At 35.9% G+C, this 13,837-nt stretch overlaps 1 protein-coding gene across 11 annotated transcripts in view; it reads left to right on the forward strand.

Moving 5' to 3' along the window:
• ABCA13 (ATP binding cassette subfamily A member 13) overlaps window positions 1-13,837 on the forward strand; it is a 476,040-nt gene that overhangs the window by 421,332 nt on the left and 40,871 nt on the right. For all 11 annotated transcript variants that reach the window (XR_926914.3, XR_926915.3, XM_011515130.3 and 8 more), the window contains one exon: window positions 1,921-2,024. Coding sequence is in view for 9 of the 11 variants with exons in the window: in XM_011515130.3 (XP_011513432.1) it covers window positions 1,921-2,024 (104 nt within the window). In the remaining 2 variants the exon portion in view is untranslated. The remainder of the gene's footprint in view (window positions 1-1,920; window positions 2,025-13,837) is intronic.

Here is a 13,837-nt window from a genome sequence, read left to right on the forward strand (position 1 = left end):
TTTATCATTTTATATAAATTGACCATTTTATCATTGTATTTTTCTCTTTTTACAGTTTTTGACTTAAAGCATATTTTGTGTGACATAAATATAGATAAACATGCCCTCTGGGTCATCATTTGCTTGGAGTATCTTTACCTATTGTTTCACACTCAGTCTATGTGTATCCAAAAAAACTGTACTAAGTCTCTTGCAAACAGCATAAGATTGGATCTTGGTTTTTATCCATTCATTCACTTTATGCCTTTTGATTGGCAAATGCTGTCTATTTACATTTAATGTAATTATTAATAGGTAGGATCATATTCTTGACATTTTGTTAATTGTTTTCTGGCTATTTTTAAAGTTATTTATTCTTTTTTTTCCTCTATTACTGCTTTTCTTTTAATTTGATAATTTTTTTTTGTGTTGGTATGTTGGTATGCTTTGATTCATTTCTGTTTTTTTTTCTTTTGTGTGTGTGTGTGTGTGTATGTGTGTGTGTGTGCATCTTCTATAGGTTTTTTATTTGTGGTTACCAAGAATCTATATAAAACATCTTATAGTTACAAAAGTCTATTTTTAACCTGATAGTAACTGAACTTATATCACATTAAAAAAAAACTACACTTTTGCTTCCAACCATCTCATTTTATGTTTTAGATGTCACAATTTGCAGCTCTTTATATTGTATTTCCATTAAAAAATTATTATAGCTATAGTTATTTTTAATACTTTGTGTTTTAATCTGAATATTACCATTATAAGTGATTTATACACCAACATTAAAGCATTAAAGTATGCTGAATGTGGCTGTATACTTAACTTTACTGTGAGTTTTATAATTTCATGTTGCTAATTAGAATCCTTTTATTTTGTTTTGAAGAACCCCTTTAGCATTTTTTTTTTATAAGACAGGTATTGTGTCAATGAACTCTTTCAGCTTTTGTTTGGGAGCATTTTTTTTTTTATAAGACAGGTATTGTGTCAATGAACTCTTTCAGCTTTTGTTTGGGAAATTCTTTATCTCTTTTTTATCTCTGAAGGGCAGCTTTGCTGGGTAAAGTAGGTAAAGTATTTTTATTTGGCAGGTTTTTTTTCTTTCATAGGCCCACTCTTTCCCAGTCCTGAAGATTTCTTCTGAAAAATCCACTGATAGCCTTGTGGATGTATGTCATGAGCCTTTTTTTTCCTCTTGTTGCTGTGAAAATTCTGTTTTTCATTTTTGACAGTTTGATTATTGCGTATCTCAGTGAATAATTTGTTGGGTTGAAGCTATTTGGGAACTTTTAAGCTTCATATATCTTGATGTTCAAATGTCTATCTCTTTATCCAAATTTGGGAATGTTTCAGCCATTATTTATTTAATAAGCATTCTGCTGCCCCTTTTTCTCACCTTTTTTATTTTGTAAATCTCATATTGTAAAAGTTAGGTCTCTGGATAATGTGCCATAAACCCTGTCAGGCTTTCTTTGTTCTTCTTAATTCTTTTTTACTTTTTTAAAATTTTCCTTGACTGGATAATTTCAAATAATCTGCCCTCAAGTTCACAGATTTTTTTTATCTGCTTGATCAAATGTGCTTTTCTCTATTATATTTTTTATTTCATTTTATTTTTCTGCGCCAGTATTTCTATTTGGTTCTTTTTTTTTATAATTTTGATCTGTTTTTTGAATTTCTCTGGATGAGGTGAGAAAGAAGTGGGGCTCCTGGGTAGCATGCTGCATGGCTGGAGGAGTCAGGCCCTCACTCATTGCTCTCTCACATTCCCCTATCATTCTGGCTTTGTTGAGCAGAGTGCAACAAAGCCAATTGGAGAGGTGTCTTTTAGAGCCAGAGCAGAGATTTTTCTTTCACCTGGGGTCTGGCCTCCCATGTCATTGTGTATATTTCTATTTGTGTTTTTCAAATGCTGATTACTCTGTGTTGCCTTTCCTTCAGGATGAGCCCAGCTCTGGGATGGATCCCTGCTCTAAGCGGTACCTGTGGCAAACAATAATGAAGGAGGTTCGGGAAGGCTGTGCTGCGGTGCTGACCTCCCACAGGTGAGTTCCAGTTTCTCTTGTAGCCATTTCCTGATAAGACTGAGTAACAAAGGTTAAGAAGTGCATTTAGGTACCTGCACAGTGTTACACATGGACATTTCTTAATCTTTACAACACAATAATGGTGATATTATTGTTAGCCCTCATTGTATAAATTGAGACTGAAGCCATGAGGGATTACGTTATATAACCAAGTTTACATAGCAAATAGGTGGCAGAGCTAGAATTTGAACCTAGTGTTCTGTGTCCAAAGATGATATTCTTGCCTCATCCATTGCTACTGTTCAAGGATGAGTGCTAGACTACCATTTTCAGGTCTTCCTGAGGGATCTTTCAGATCCTTTCCATCCAAGGCCTATTATTTCAGCAGGTAGAATTAGCTGAACTAAAATACTTAACAGGTTACTGAATCTGGTTTAACATTTTCTTTATCACAGAATTAAGTTTGTAATTAGATTTCAAAACCATTGGCTTCTTTTTAACTTTCTAATACACTGTTCTAGCCCACAAAGAATTACAAATATAGATTTCATAAAACCTACTTATGGGGAGTGAGCAATATGATTTAACTAATACAAATTCTAATGATGTAATAAAGACCAGGCTTTAATGTTTAGACTTGTTTTGTCTTTATGTTTAAGTAAAATATACTGTGAATAAGATGTCAAGAGCTGCCAAAGATCTCACATTTTGCCCTTTTGCAAGCTAACAAATTTAGCTTGATACAGTTTTATGGATGTTGACAGAAGAAATGAGACTTCTGGGTCGGAGATGAAAGACTTTATTGCTCACAGCAAGAACAGTAGCCAGAGTGTCAGCATGGTTTCTCATTGGTTCCCTAAACCCCAGTTTCTATTGGACTAATGGATGCCTGCACACAGAGGAGAGGAATGCCAAATCTGGTGAAATTACTACCTTATAACATCTGATAAGGAAGCCAGCCCTTCGTTTGGGAGGAGGTGTCGCTTCTTCCATGGTTGTTTGCTACTAGCATAACTTTGAGAAATGGCCCAGTTAAAGAGCAGTTAGGGCCTTATATTCTTGGAATTCATGGCAAGACACGTAGGAACACAAGGGACCCATGGAAACATGCTTCCCAACAGTCTAAATCATTCAGTCTATGCTTGAGTACCCCAGCTCTTGTTACCAGGAGTGAAATATAAAGCTAGCCCTATCATTTGAAACGTGAGATTTCTGAGAGGACCTCAGGAGACTTTACTGATTACTGCAGCATTATTAGTTTACGTAAAAATACTATTAAATGCTATAACTCAGCATGCATAATCCTATTACACATAAATCTTACAGCCATTTCCTGTAACAAGTGTTACTGGCTGCAAAGCCAATGTATTGTGAAGAACTCAGCCATTCACACATTTCTCACATTGCTTCATGTCAAAGTAGACTTTTCTTAATTTTCTATCTCTGGGCTCTTTCTTTTTTAAAAAAATTCATTCACTGATAGGTTTGTCTATACTGCTTAACATTCCCCAATTTTCACTGCCAGACTAAACTTTACACTGTTGTTTTTTTAAATGCCATTTTCTGAAGTATAATTTACATTTGATATAACTTAACCACTGTAAGTATGGAATTCTATGATTCTTTAGTAAATTTATAGACTTGTGCAAATATTACCATAAATAAGCCTTAGAATATTTGGGTCACCTCCCCCAAATTTTCTCATGCTTACTTTCAGTTAAATTAGCATTTGAGGCTAGGTGCCGTGGCTCATGCCTGTAATCCCAGCACGTTGGGAGGCCAAGGCGGGCGGATCACGAGGTCAGGAGATCAAGACCATGGAGAAACCACATCTCTACTAAAAATACAAAAAATTAGCCAGGCGTGGTGGCGGGCGCCTGTAGTCCCAGCTACTCAAGAGGCTGAGGCAGGAGAATGTCATGAGACCGGGAGGTGGAGCTTGCAGTGAGCCAAGATCGGGCCACTGCACTCCAGCCTGGGCGTCAGAGCAAGACTCCGTCTCAAAAACAACAACCACAACAAAAAAATTAGCATTCAAAACCTCCACCTAGGAAAACATTGATGGCTTTCTGCCTCTGTAAATTTGCTTTATATGGATATTTCATTAACTGAATCATATAATCAGTAGTCTGCTGCATCTCTTTTTTTTATTTATCATAACACTTTTTTTTTTTGAGACAGAGTCTTGCTCAGTCACCCAGGCTGGAGTGCAGTGGCACGATCTTGGCTCACTGCAAGCTCCGCCTCCTGGGTTCACGCCATTCTCCTGCCTCAGCCTCCCGGGTAGCTGGGACTACAGGCACCTGCCACCAAGCCTGGCTAATTTTTTGTATTTTAGTAGAGACGGGGTTTCACCGTGTTAGCCAGGATGGTCTCGATCTCCTGACCTTGTGATCCGCCCGCCTGGGCCTCCCAAAGTGCTGGGATTACAGGCGTGAGCCACCATGCCCGGCCTATGGCAACACTTTTAAAGGCTATCCATTGCGTTTTATGTCAATAGGTTGCTCCTTTTCATTCCAAACGGTATCCCATTTTATAGCTATACCACTTTTATTTATCCATTCACCAGTTGATAAGCATTTGGGTTGTTTCCAGTGTTTTGCTATTATGAATAATATGTTATGAACAGTCATATAAATGTCTTTGTATGTATAGACATGTTTTAATTTTTTTAGATTTTTCTGAGTCAAGTTGCTAGATTGAATAGTAAGTTGTATTTGAGACTTTAAGAAACTGCAGAGTTATTTCCCAAATTGGCCTTATCAGTATATGTTCCCAGCAACAATGATGAGTCTCCTTTATTCCACATCCTTGTCACTACTGTCTGTCTTTTTTCATTATAGGCATCCTAGTGAAGTGGGGTTTTAATTCACATTTTCCTAAGGACTAACGCTGTTAGAATCTTTTCATGTGCCTATTGGTTATTTGTATTACTTCTTTAGTGAAATTTTTATTCCAATATCTCCTCCATCCTCCATTTTTTAAAAATGGCTTGATACTTTAGAATAGTTTTAGGTTCACTGAAAAATTGAGAGGAAGGTACAGAAATTTTTTAAATCCCTCCTTGCCTTCACACATGCATATCCTTCCCTATTATCAGCATACATTACCAGAGTGATACATTTATTAAAATTGATGAGCCTACATTGACAGCACATTACCACCCCAATCCAATTTACATAGGGTTCTCTCTTGATGTTGGACATTTTATGGGTTTGGACAAATATCTAATAAGAATCCACCATTATAGTATCAGATAGAATTGTTTCTCTGCCCTAAAAATTTTCTGTGTTCCACCTATTCATCTCTCCCTCCTGCCTAACCCCTGGTAACCACTCATCTTTTTACTGTCTCCATAGTTTTACCTTTTCCACAATGCCATATAGTTGGAATCATATAGTATGTAGTCTTTTCAGGTTGACTTTTTTCATTTAGTTTCTCCCATGTCTTCTCATGGCTTGATAGCTCATTTCATTTCAGTCCTGAGTCATATTCCACTATCTGGATGTACTACAGCTTATTTATCCACTCATCCGCTGAACCACATCTTGGTTGCTTCCAAGTTTTGACAATTTTGAATAAAGCTGCTTAAGGATCCGTGTGCAGTTTTTTGTGTGAACATATTTTCAACTCCTTTGGGTAAATACCAAGGAATGTGATTGCTGGATCGGATGGTAAGAGTATGTTAATTTTTGTAAGGATCCTTTATATTTGAATTGTTTTTTATCTATTATTTTTGAATTGTAATAGTTCTTTTTATGTAGCAGATATTCCTATATTCTGAATAGAAGTCCCTTGCTGGATAAATGATTTGCAAATATGTATTTCCAGTCTATGGCTGTCTTTCCATTTTATTAATAATGTCTTTCGAAGTGCAAACATTTTAAATTTTGATTACATTCAGTTTATCAATTTATTTTTATATGGTTTGTGCTTTTGGTGTCTCATCTAAGAACTATTTGTTCAAATGAAGTCCTAAAGATTTTCTTCTATCTTTTTTTTCTAAAAATTTTAGAATTTTGGCTCTTATATTTAAGTCTTTGATCTATTTCAAGCTAAGTTTTGTGTATAGTATGAGAAAAGGATATAAATTCACTTTTATGCATGTTAATATCCAATTATTTCAGCACTCTTCCTTGAAAAGATTATCTTTTATCCCACTGAATTGTCATAGCACCTTTATTATATTATTTATTGTATGATTTATTTTTGGACTCTCAATTATTATCCATTGATATGTATGCTTATTTTCTCACCCAATAATATCATGTTGATTATGGTTGTTTTCTATTAAGTTTTGAAAACAGTAAGTGTTATTCCTTCAGCTTTTTCCTTCTATTATAAAATTTTTCATTATCTTGAAATATTTTTCAATTTCTCTTGTGATTACTTCTTTGACCCTTAGTTTATTTAGAAGTGTCATTCAATTTTCAGATACTGGGAGATTTTTAAGAGATTTTTTTTTCTGTTATTCATCTCTGATTTAATTTGGTTGTCATTAGATAAAATAAGTTGTATGATTTCCATCATTTTAAATTTGTTATGACTTTTTAATGGCCTACCAGAGGGGTTACAGTTTTTTTTTTATAAAACACCATATTTTAATTGTTTTTTATCTATTATTTTTGAATTGTAATAGTTCTTTTTATGTAGCAGATATTCCTATATTCTGAATAGAAGTCCCTTGCTGGATAAATGATTTGCAAATATGTATTTCCAGTCTATGGCTGTCTTTCCATTTTATTAATAATGTCTTTGGAAGTGCAAATATTTTAAATTTTGATTACATTCAGTTTATCAATTTAGAACTAGAAATACCATTTGACCAAGCAATCCCATTACTGAGTATTTGGTTTTGCAAGTCGTATGGTGTGTACTGCAGTATCCAACTCCACTGTGTAGTGTGAAAGCTTCCACCAGTATTAGGTAAATGCATAATTGTGGTTGTATTCCAATAAAATTTTATTTGTTCCTCTCCCCCATCCCCCACAAAATGGTGGCAGGCTGGATTTAGCCAATGGGCTGCAGTTTTTTACTCCAGGCTTAACATATGGTCTATCCTAGAGAATTGTCTATGCAAAGGAATATGTATTCTGTAGTAGTTGGATGGAATATTGTATATACAGCAAGTCAGCAAGTTAGCTTGACAGTGTTGTTTAAGTATTCTGTATTCTTGGGAATTTTTTCCTGGGTATTCTATCAATTACTGAAAATAAGATATTGAAATATTCAAGTATAATTGTTACATTTTTCTTTTCCTTCTTTAGATTCTGTCAGTTTTTGCTTCATATATTTGGAGTCTGTGTAGTTAGGTGAATATGCATTCTTAATTGCTATCATACTAATATTTTGACTTTCTTATCATTATGAAATGTCTCTGTTTTACTCTAGCAGTATGTTTTATCTTAAATCCTATTTTGTTTCTTAAAATAGCCATTGCCTCTGTCTTTTGGATAATGTTTGTGTGGTATATCTTTTCATATTCTTTTACTTTCAAATAATTTGTGTCTTTGAATAGGAGTGTTTCCTATAGATTGTGTATAGTTGGATATTGTTTTTTTTTTTCCCAATCTGACAATGTCTGCCTTTTGTGGGAGGTATTTAAACTGTCCCACATTTAATGTAATTATTGATATGGCTGAAGTAACATTGACTGTTTTGCTATTTTTTACATAATGTCTCCTGTGTTTCTTGTATCTGTTTCTACTTGGCAGCCTTATATATTAAATGAATAATTTGAAGTATACTGTATTTAATGTTTTATCTATTTTTTTTAGTTATGTTCTTACTGGCTAGTCTAAGGATGATAGTATACGTCTTGATGCTAACTTAATTCTAGAAAAGTGTTGTAATCTTGCCCTAATATGGCTCTATTTCCTCCCTTTTTCTTTGTGCTATTATTACCATATATATTGCATTTTATATGCTATAAATCCAATAAGGCATATTTTAAGTTTCACTTTATACACTTTTAAATCTTTTAAAGAAGATAAGAAAATATATCAAAAAGACATATCCACAGTCTTAAATAGTAATCCATACAATTGTCATTTCTGACGCATATCTGTCCATATGAAAAATGTGAGAAAATTTTGGCCATTATTTACTCAAATACTTTTTCTGGTCCTATCTATCTTTCCTTTTCTTTTGGTCTTCCATTACGTGTATGTTGAAACTCTGATCTTATCGCACAAGTCTGAGTTCTTGCTCATTTTTTTTAGTCTTGTTTTTTTCTATTTTTGGATTGGATAATCTTTATTGATCTATGTGTTCACTGACTCCTCTGCCATTTTGAATCTGGTGTTGACCCCTCTAGTGAATTTTTCCTTAATTTCTTGTAATCTTTAACTGATTTATTTTTTTTATAATTTTTATCCCCTTCTTCAGAATCCCCACTTACTAATGTGGTTGTCAGACTTTTCTTTAATTCTTTTTATTTTTTATTATTATACTTAAAGTTATGGGGTATGTGTGCAGAACGTGCAGGTTTGTTACATAGGTATACATGTGCCATGGTGGTTTGCAGCACCCATCAACCTGTCATCTACATTAGGTATTTCTCCTAATGCTATCCGTCACCCAGCCTCCCACCCCCGCAACAGGCCCCGGTGTGTGATGCTCTCTGTGTCCATGTGTCCTCATTGTTCAACTCCCACTTATGAGTGAGAACATGTGGTGTTTGGTTTTCTGATTTGTGTTACTTTGCTGAGAATGATGATTTCCAGCTTCATCCATGTCCCTGCAAGGGACATGAACTAATTCTTTTTTATGGCTGCATAATATTCCATGATGTATATGTACCACATTTTCTTTATCCAGTCTATCATTGATGGGCATTTGGGTTGGTTCCAAGTCTTTGCTTTTGTGAACAGTTCCTCAGTAAACATATGTGTGCATGTGTCATCATAGTAGAATAATCTGTAATCCTTTGGGTATATACCCAGTAATGGGATTGCTGGGTCAAATGGTATTTCTAGTTCTAGATCCTTGAGGAATTGCCACACTGTCTTCCACAATTGGTGAACTAATTTACACTCCCACCCACAGTGCAAAAGTGTTCCTATTTCTCCACATCCTCTCCAGCATCTGTTGTTTTCTGACTTTTTAATGATCACCATTCTAACTGGCCTGAGATGGTATCTCATTGTGGATTTGATTTGCATTTCTCTAATGACCAGTGATGATGAGCTTTTTTTCATATGTTTGTTGGCTGCATAAATGTTTTCTTTTGAGAAGTGTCTGTTCATATCCTTTGCCCACTTTTTGATGGGGTTGTTTCTTTTTTTCTTGTAAATTTGTTTAAGTTCTTTGTAGATTCTGGATATTAGCCCTTTGTCAGATAGAAAGATTGCAAAAATTTTCTCCCATTCTGTAGGTTGCCTGTTCACTCTGATGGTAGTTTCGTTTGCTGTGCAGAAGCTCTTTAGTTTAATTAGATACCATTTGTCAATTTTGGATTTTGTTGCCATTGCTTTTGGTGTTTTAGTCATGAAGTCTTTGCCCATGCCTATGTCGTGAATGGTATTGCCTAGGTTTTCTTCTAGGGTTTTTATGGTTTTAGGTCTTACATTTAAGTCTTTAATCCATCTTGAGTTAATTTTCCTATAAGGTGTAAGGAAGTGATCCAGTTTCAGCTTTCTGCATATAGCTACCCAGTTTTCCCGACACCATTTATTAAATAGGGAATTCTTTCCCCATTGCTTGTTTTTGCCAGTTTTGTCAAAGATCAGATGGTTGTAGATGTGTGGTGTTATTTCTGAGGCCTCTGTTCTGTTCCCTTGGTCTATATATCTGTATTGGTACCAGTACCATGCTGTTTCTGTTACCATAGCTTTGTAGTATAGTTTGAAGTCAGGTAGCGTGATGCCCCCAGCTTTGTTCTTTTTGCTTAGGATTGTCTTGGTTACGCGGGCTCTTTTTTGGTTCCATATGAAATTTAAAGTGGTTTTTTTTTTCCAATTCTGTGAAGAAAGTCAGTGGTAGCTTGATGGGGATAGCATTGAATCTATAAATTATTTTGGACAGTATGGCCATTTTCATGATATTGATTCTTCCTATCCATGAGCATGGAATGTTTTTTTCACTTGATTGTGTCCTCTTTTATTTCCTTGAGCAGTGGTTTGTAGTTGTCCTTGAAGAGGTACTTCACATTCCTTGTAAGTTGTATTCCTATGAATTTTATTCTCTTTGTAGCAATTGTGAATGGGAGTTCATTCATGATTTGACTCTCTGTTTGTCTGTTATTGGTATATAGGAATGTTTGTAATTTTTGCGCATTGATTTTGTATCCTGAGACTTTGCTTGAGTTGCCTCTCAGCTTTAGGAGATTTAGGGTTGAGATGATGGGGTTTGCTAAATATATAGTCATGTCAACTGCAAGCAGAGGCAATTTGACTTCCTCTTTTCCTAACTGAATATGCTTTATTTCTTTCTCTTGCCTGATAGCCCTGGCCAGAACTTTCAACACTATGTTGAATAGTAGTGGTGAGAGAGGGCATCCTCATCTTGTGCTGGTTTTCAAAGAGAATGCTTCTAGGTTTTGCGCATTCAATATGATAGTGCCTGTGGGTTTTTCATAAATAATCTTATTATTTTGCAGTATGTTCCATCAATACCTAGTTTATTGAGAGTTTTTAGCATGAAGGGCTGTTGAATTTTGTCGAAGGCTTTTTCTGCATCTATTGAGATAATCATGTGGTTTTCGTCGTTGATTCTGTTTATGTGATGGATTATGTTTATTGATTTGCATATTTTGAACCAGCCTTGCATCCCAGGGATGAAGCTGACTTGATTGTGGTGGATAAGCTTTTTGATGTGCTGCTGGATTCAGTTTGTCAGTATTTTATTGAGGATTTTCGCATCAATGTTTATCAGGGATATTGGCCTAAAATTTTCTTTTTTTGTTCTTTTTCTGCCAGGTTTTGGTATCAGGATGATGCTGGCCTCATAAAATGAGTTACAGAGGATTCCCTCTTTTTCTATTGATTGGAATAGTTTCAGAAGGAATGGTACCAGCTCCTCTTTGTACCTCTAGTAGAATTTGGCTGTGAATTCGTCTGGTCCTGGACTTTTTTTGGTTGGTAGGCTATTAATTACTGCCTCAATTTCAGAATTTGTTATTGGTCTATTCAGGGATTTGACTTCTTTCTGGTTTAGTCTTTGGAGGGTGTATATTATTTCAGTAATTTATCCATTTCTCCTAGATTTTCTAGTTTAGTTGCATAGAGGTGTTTATAGTATTCTCTGATGGTAGTTTGTATTTCTGTGGGATCAGTGGTGGTATCCCCTTTATCATTTTTTATTGCATCTATTTGATTCTTCTCTCTTTTCTTCTTTATTAATCTGGCTAGTAGTCTGTCTATTTTGTTGATCTTTTCAAAAAGCAGCTCCTGGATTCATTGATTTTTTGAAGGATTTGTTGTGTCTCTATCTCCTTCAGTTCTGCTGTGATCTTAGTTATTTATTGTCTTCTGCTCGCTTTTGAATTTGTTTGCTCTTGCTTCTCTAGTTCTTTCAATTGTGATGTTAGGGTGTCAATTTTAGATCTTTCCAGCTTTCTCTTGTGGGCATTTAGTGCTATAAATTTCCCTCTACACACGGCTTTAAATGTGTCCCAGAGATTCTGGTACACTGTGCCTTTGTTCTCACTGGTTTCAAAGAACATCTTTATTTCTGCCTTCATTTTGTTATTTACCCAGTAATCATTCAGGAGCAGGTTGTTCAGTTTCCATGTAGTTGTGCGGTTTTGAGTGAGTTTCTTAATCCTGAGTTCTAATTTGATTGCACTGTGGTCTGAGAGACTGTTATGATTTCCGTTCTTTTGCAGTTGCTGAGGAGTGTTTTACTTCCAATTATGTGGTCAATTTTAGAATAAGCATGATGTGGTACTGAGAAGAATGTATATTCTGTTGATTTGGGGTGGAGAGTTCTGTAGATGTCTGTTAGGTCTGCTTGGTCCAGAGCTGAGTTCAAGTCCTGGATATCCTTGTTAATTTTCTGTCTCAGTGATCTGTCTAATATTGACAGTAGGGTGTTAAAGTCTACTACTATTATTGTGTGGGAGTATAAATCTCTTTGTAGGTCTCTAAGAATTTGCTTTATGAATCTGGGTGCTCCTGTGTTGGGTGAATAAATATTTAGGATAGTTAGCTCTTCTTGTTGCATTGATCCCTTTACCATTATGTAATGGCCTTCTTTGTCTCTTTTGATCTTTGTTGGTTTAAAGTCTGTTTTATCAGAGACTAGGATTGCAATCTCTGCTTTCTTTTGCTTTCCATTTGCTTGGTAAATATTCCTCCATCCCTTTATTTTGAGCCTATTTTGTGTCTTTGTACATGAGATGGGTCTCCTGAATAAAGCACACCCATGGGTCTTGACTCTTTATCTAATTTGCCAGTCTGTGTCTTTTAATTGGGGCACGTAGCCCATTTACATTTAAGGTTAATATTGTTATGTGTGAATTTGATCCTATCATTATGATGCTAGCTGGTTATTTTGCCTGTTAGTTGATGCAGTTTCTTCATAGCATCGATGGTCTTTACAATTTGGTATGTTTTTGCAGTGGCTGATACCAGTTGTTCCTTTACATGTTCAGTGCTTCCTTCAGGAGCTCTTGTAAGGCAGCCCTGGTGGTGACAAAATCTCTCAGCATTTGCTTGTCTGTAAAGGATTTGCTTGTCTGTAAAGGCTGGATATGAAATTCTAGGTTGAAAATTCTGTACATTAAGAATGCTGAATATTGTCCCCCATTCTCCTCTGGCTTGTAGGGTTTCTGCAGAGAGATCCACTGTTAGTCTGATGGGCTTCCCTTTTTGGGTAACCCGACTTTTCTCTCTGGCTGCCCTTAACATTTTTTCCTTCATTTCCACCTTGGTGAATCTGATGATTATGTGTCTTGGGGTTGCTCTTCTCAAGGAATATCTTTGTGGTGTTCTCTGTATTTCCTGTATTGGAATGTTGACCTTCCTTCCTAGGTTTGTGAAGTTCTCCTGGATAATATCCTGAAGAGTGTTTTCCAACTTGGTTCCATTCTCCCCATCACTTTCAGGTACACCAATCAAATGTAGATTTGGTCTTTTCACATAGTCCCATATTTCTTGGATGCTTTCTTCATTTCTTTTCACTCTTTTTCTCTAATCATGTCTTCTTGCTTTATTTCATTGAATTGATCTTCAGTCTCTGATATCCTTTCTTCCACTTGATCAATTCAGCTAGTGATACTTGTGCATGCTTCACGAAGTTCTCTTGCTGTGTTTTTCAGCTCCATCAGGTCATTTATATTCTTCTCTACACTGATTATTTTAGTTAGCAGTTCATCTAACCTTTTTTCAAGGTTCTTAGCTTCCTTGCATTGGGTTAGAACTTGCTCCTTTAGCTCGGAGGAGTTTGTGATTACCCACCTTCTGAAGCCTACTTCTGTCCGTTCGTCAAACTTATTCTCCATCCAGTTTTGTTCCCTTGATGGCGAGGAGTTGTGATCCTTTGGAGGAGAAGAGGTGTTCTGGTTTTTGGAATTTTCAAGCCTTTTTGCTCTGGTTTCACCCCATCTTCATGGATTTATCTACCTTTGGTCTTTGATGTTGGTGGCCTTCAGATGTGGTCTCTGAGTGGGCGTCCTTTTTGTTGATGTTGATACTATTCCTTTCTGTTTGTTAGTTTTTCTTCTAACAGTCAGGCCCCTCTGCTGCAGGTCTGCTGGAGTTTGCTGGAGATCCGCTCCAGACCCTGTTTGGGTGTCAGTGGTGGAGGCTGCAGAACAGCAAAGATTGCTGCCTGTTCTTTCCTCTGGAAGCTTCATCCCAGAGGGTCACCTACCAAATACCAGCCAGAGC

Source organism: Homo sapiens, chromosome 7 (genome assembly GCF_000001405.40).
Source record: "Homo sapiens chromosome 7, GRCh38.p14 Primary Assembly".
NCBI lineage: Eukaryota > Metazoa > Chordata > Mammalia > Primates > Hominidae > Homo > Homo sapiens.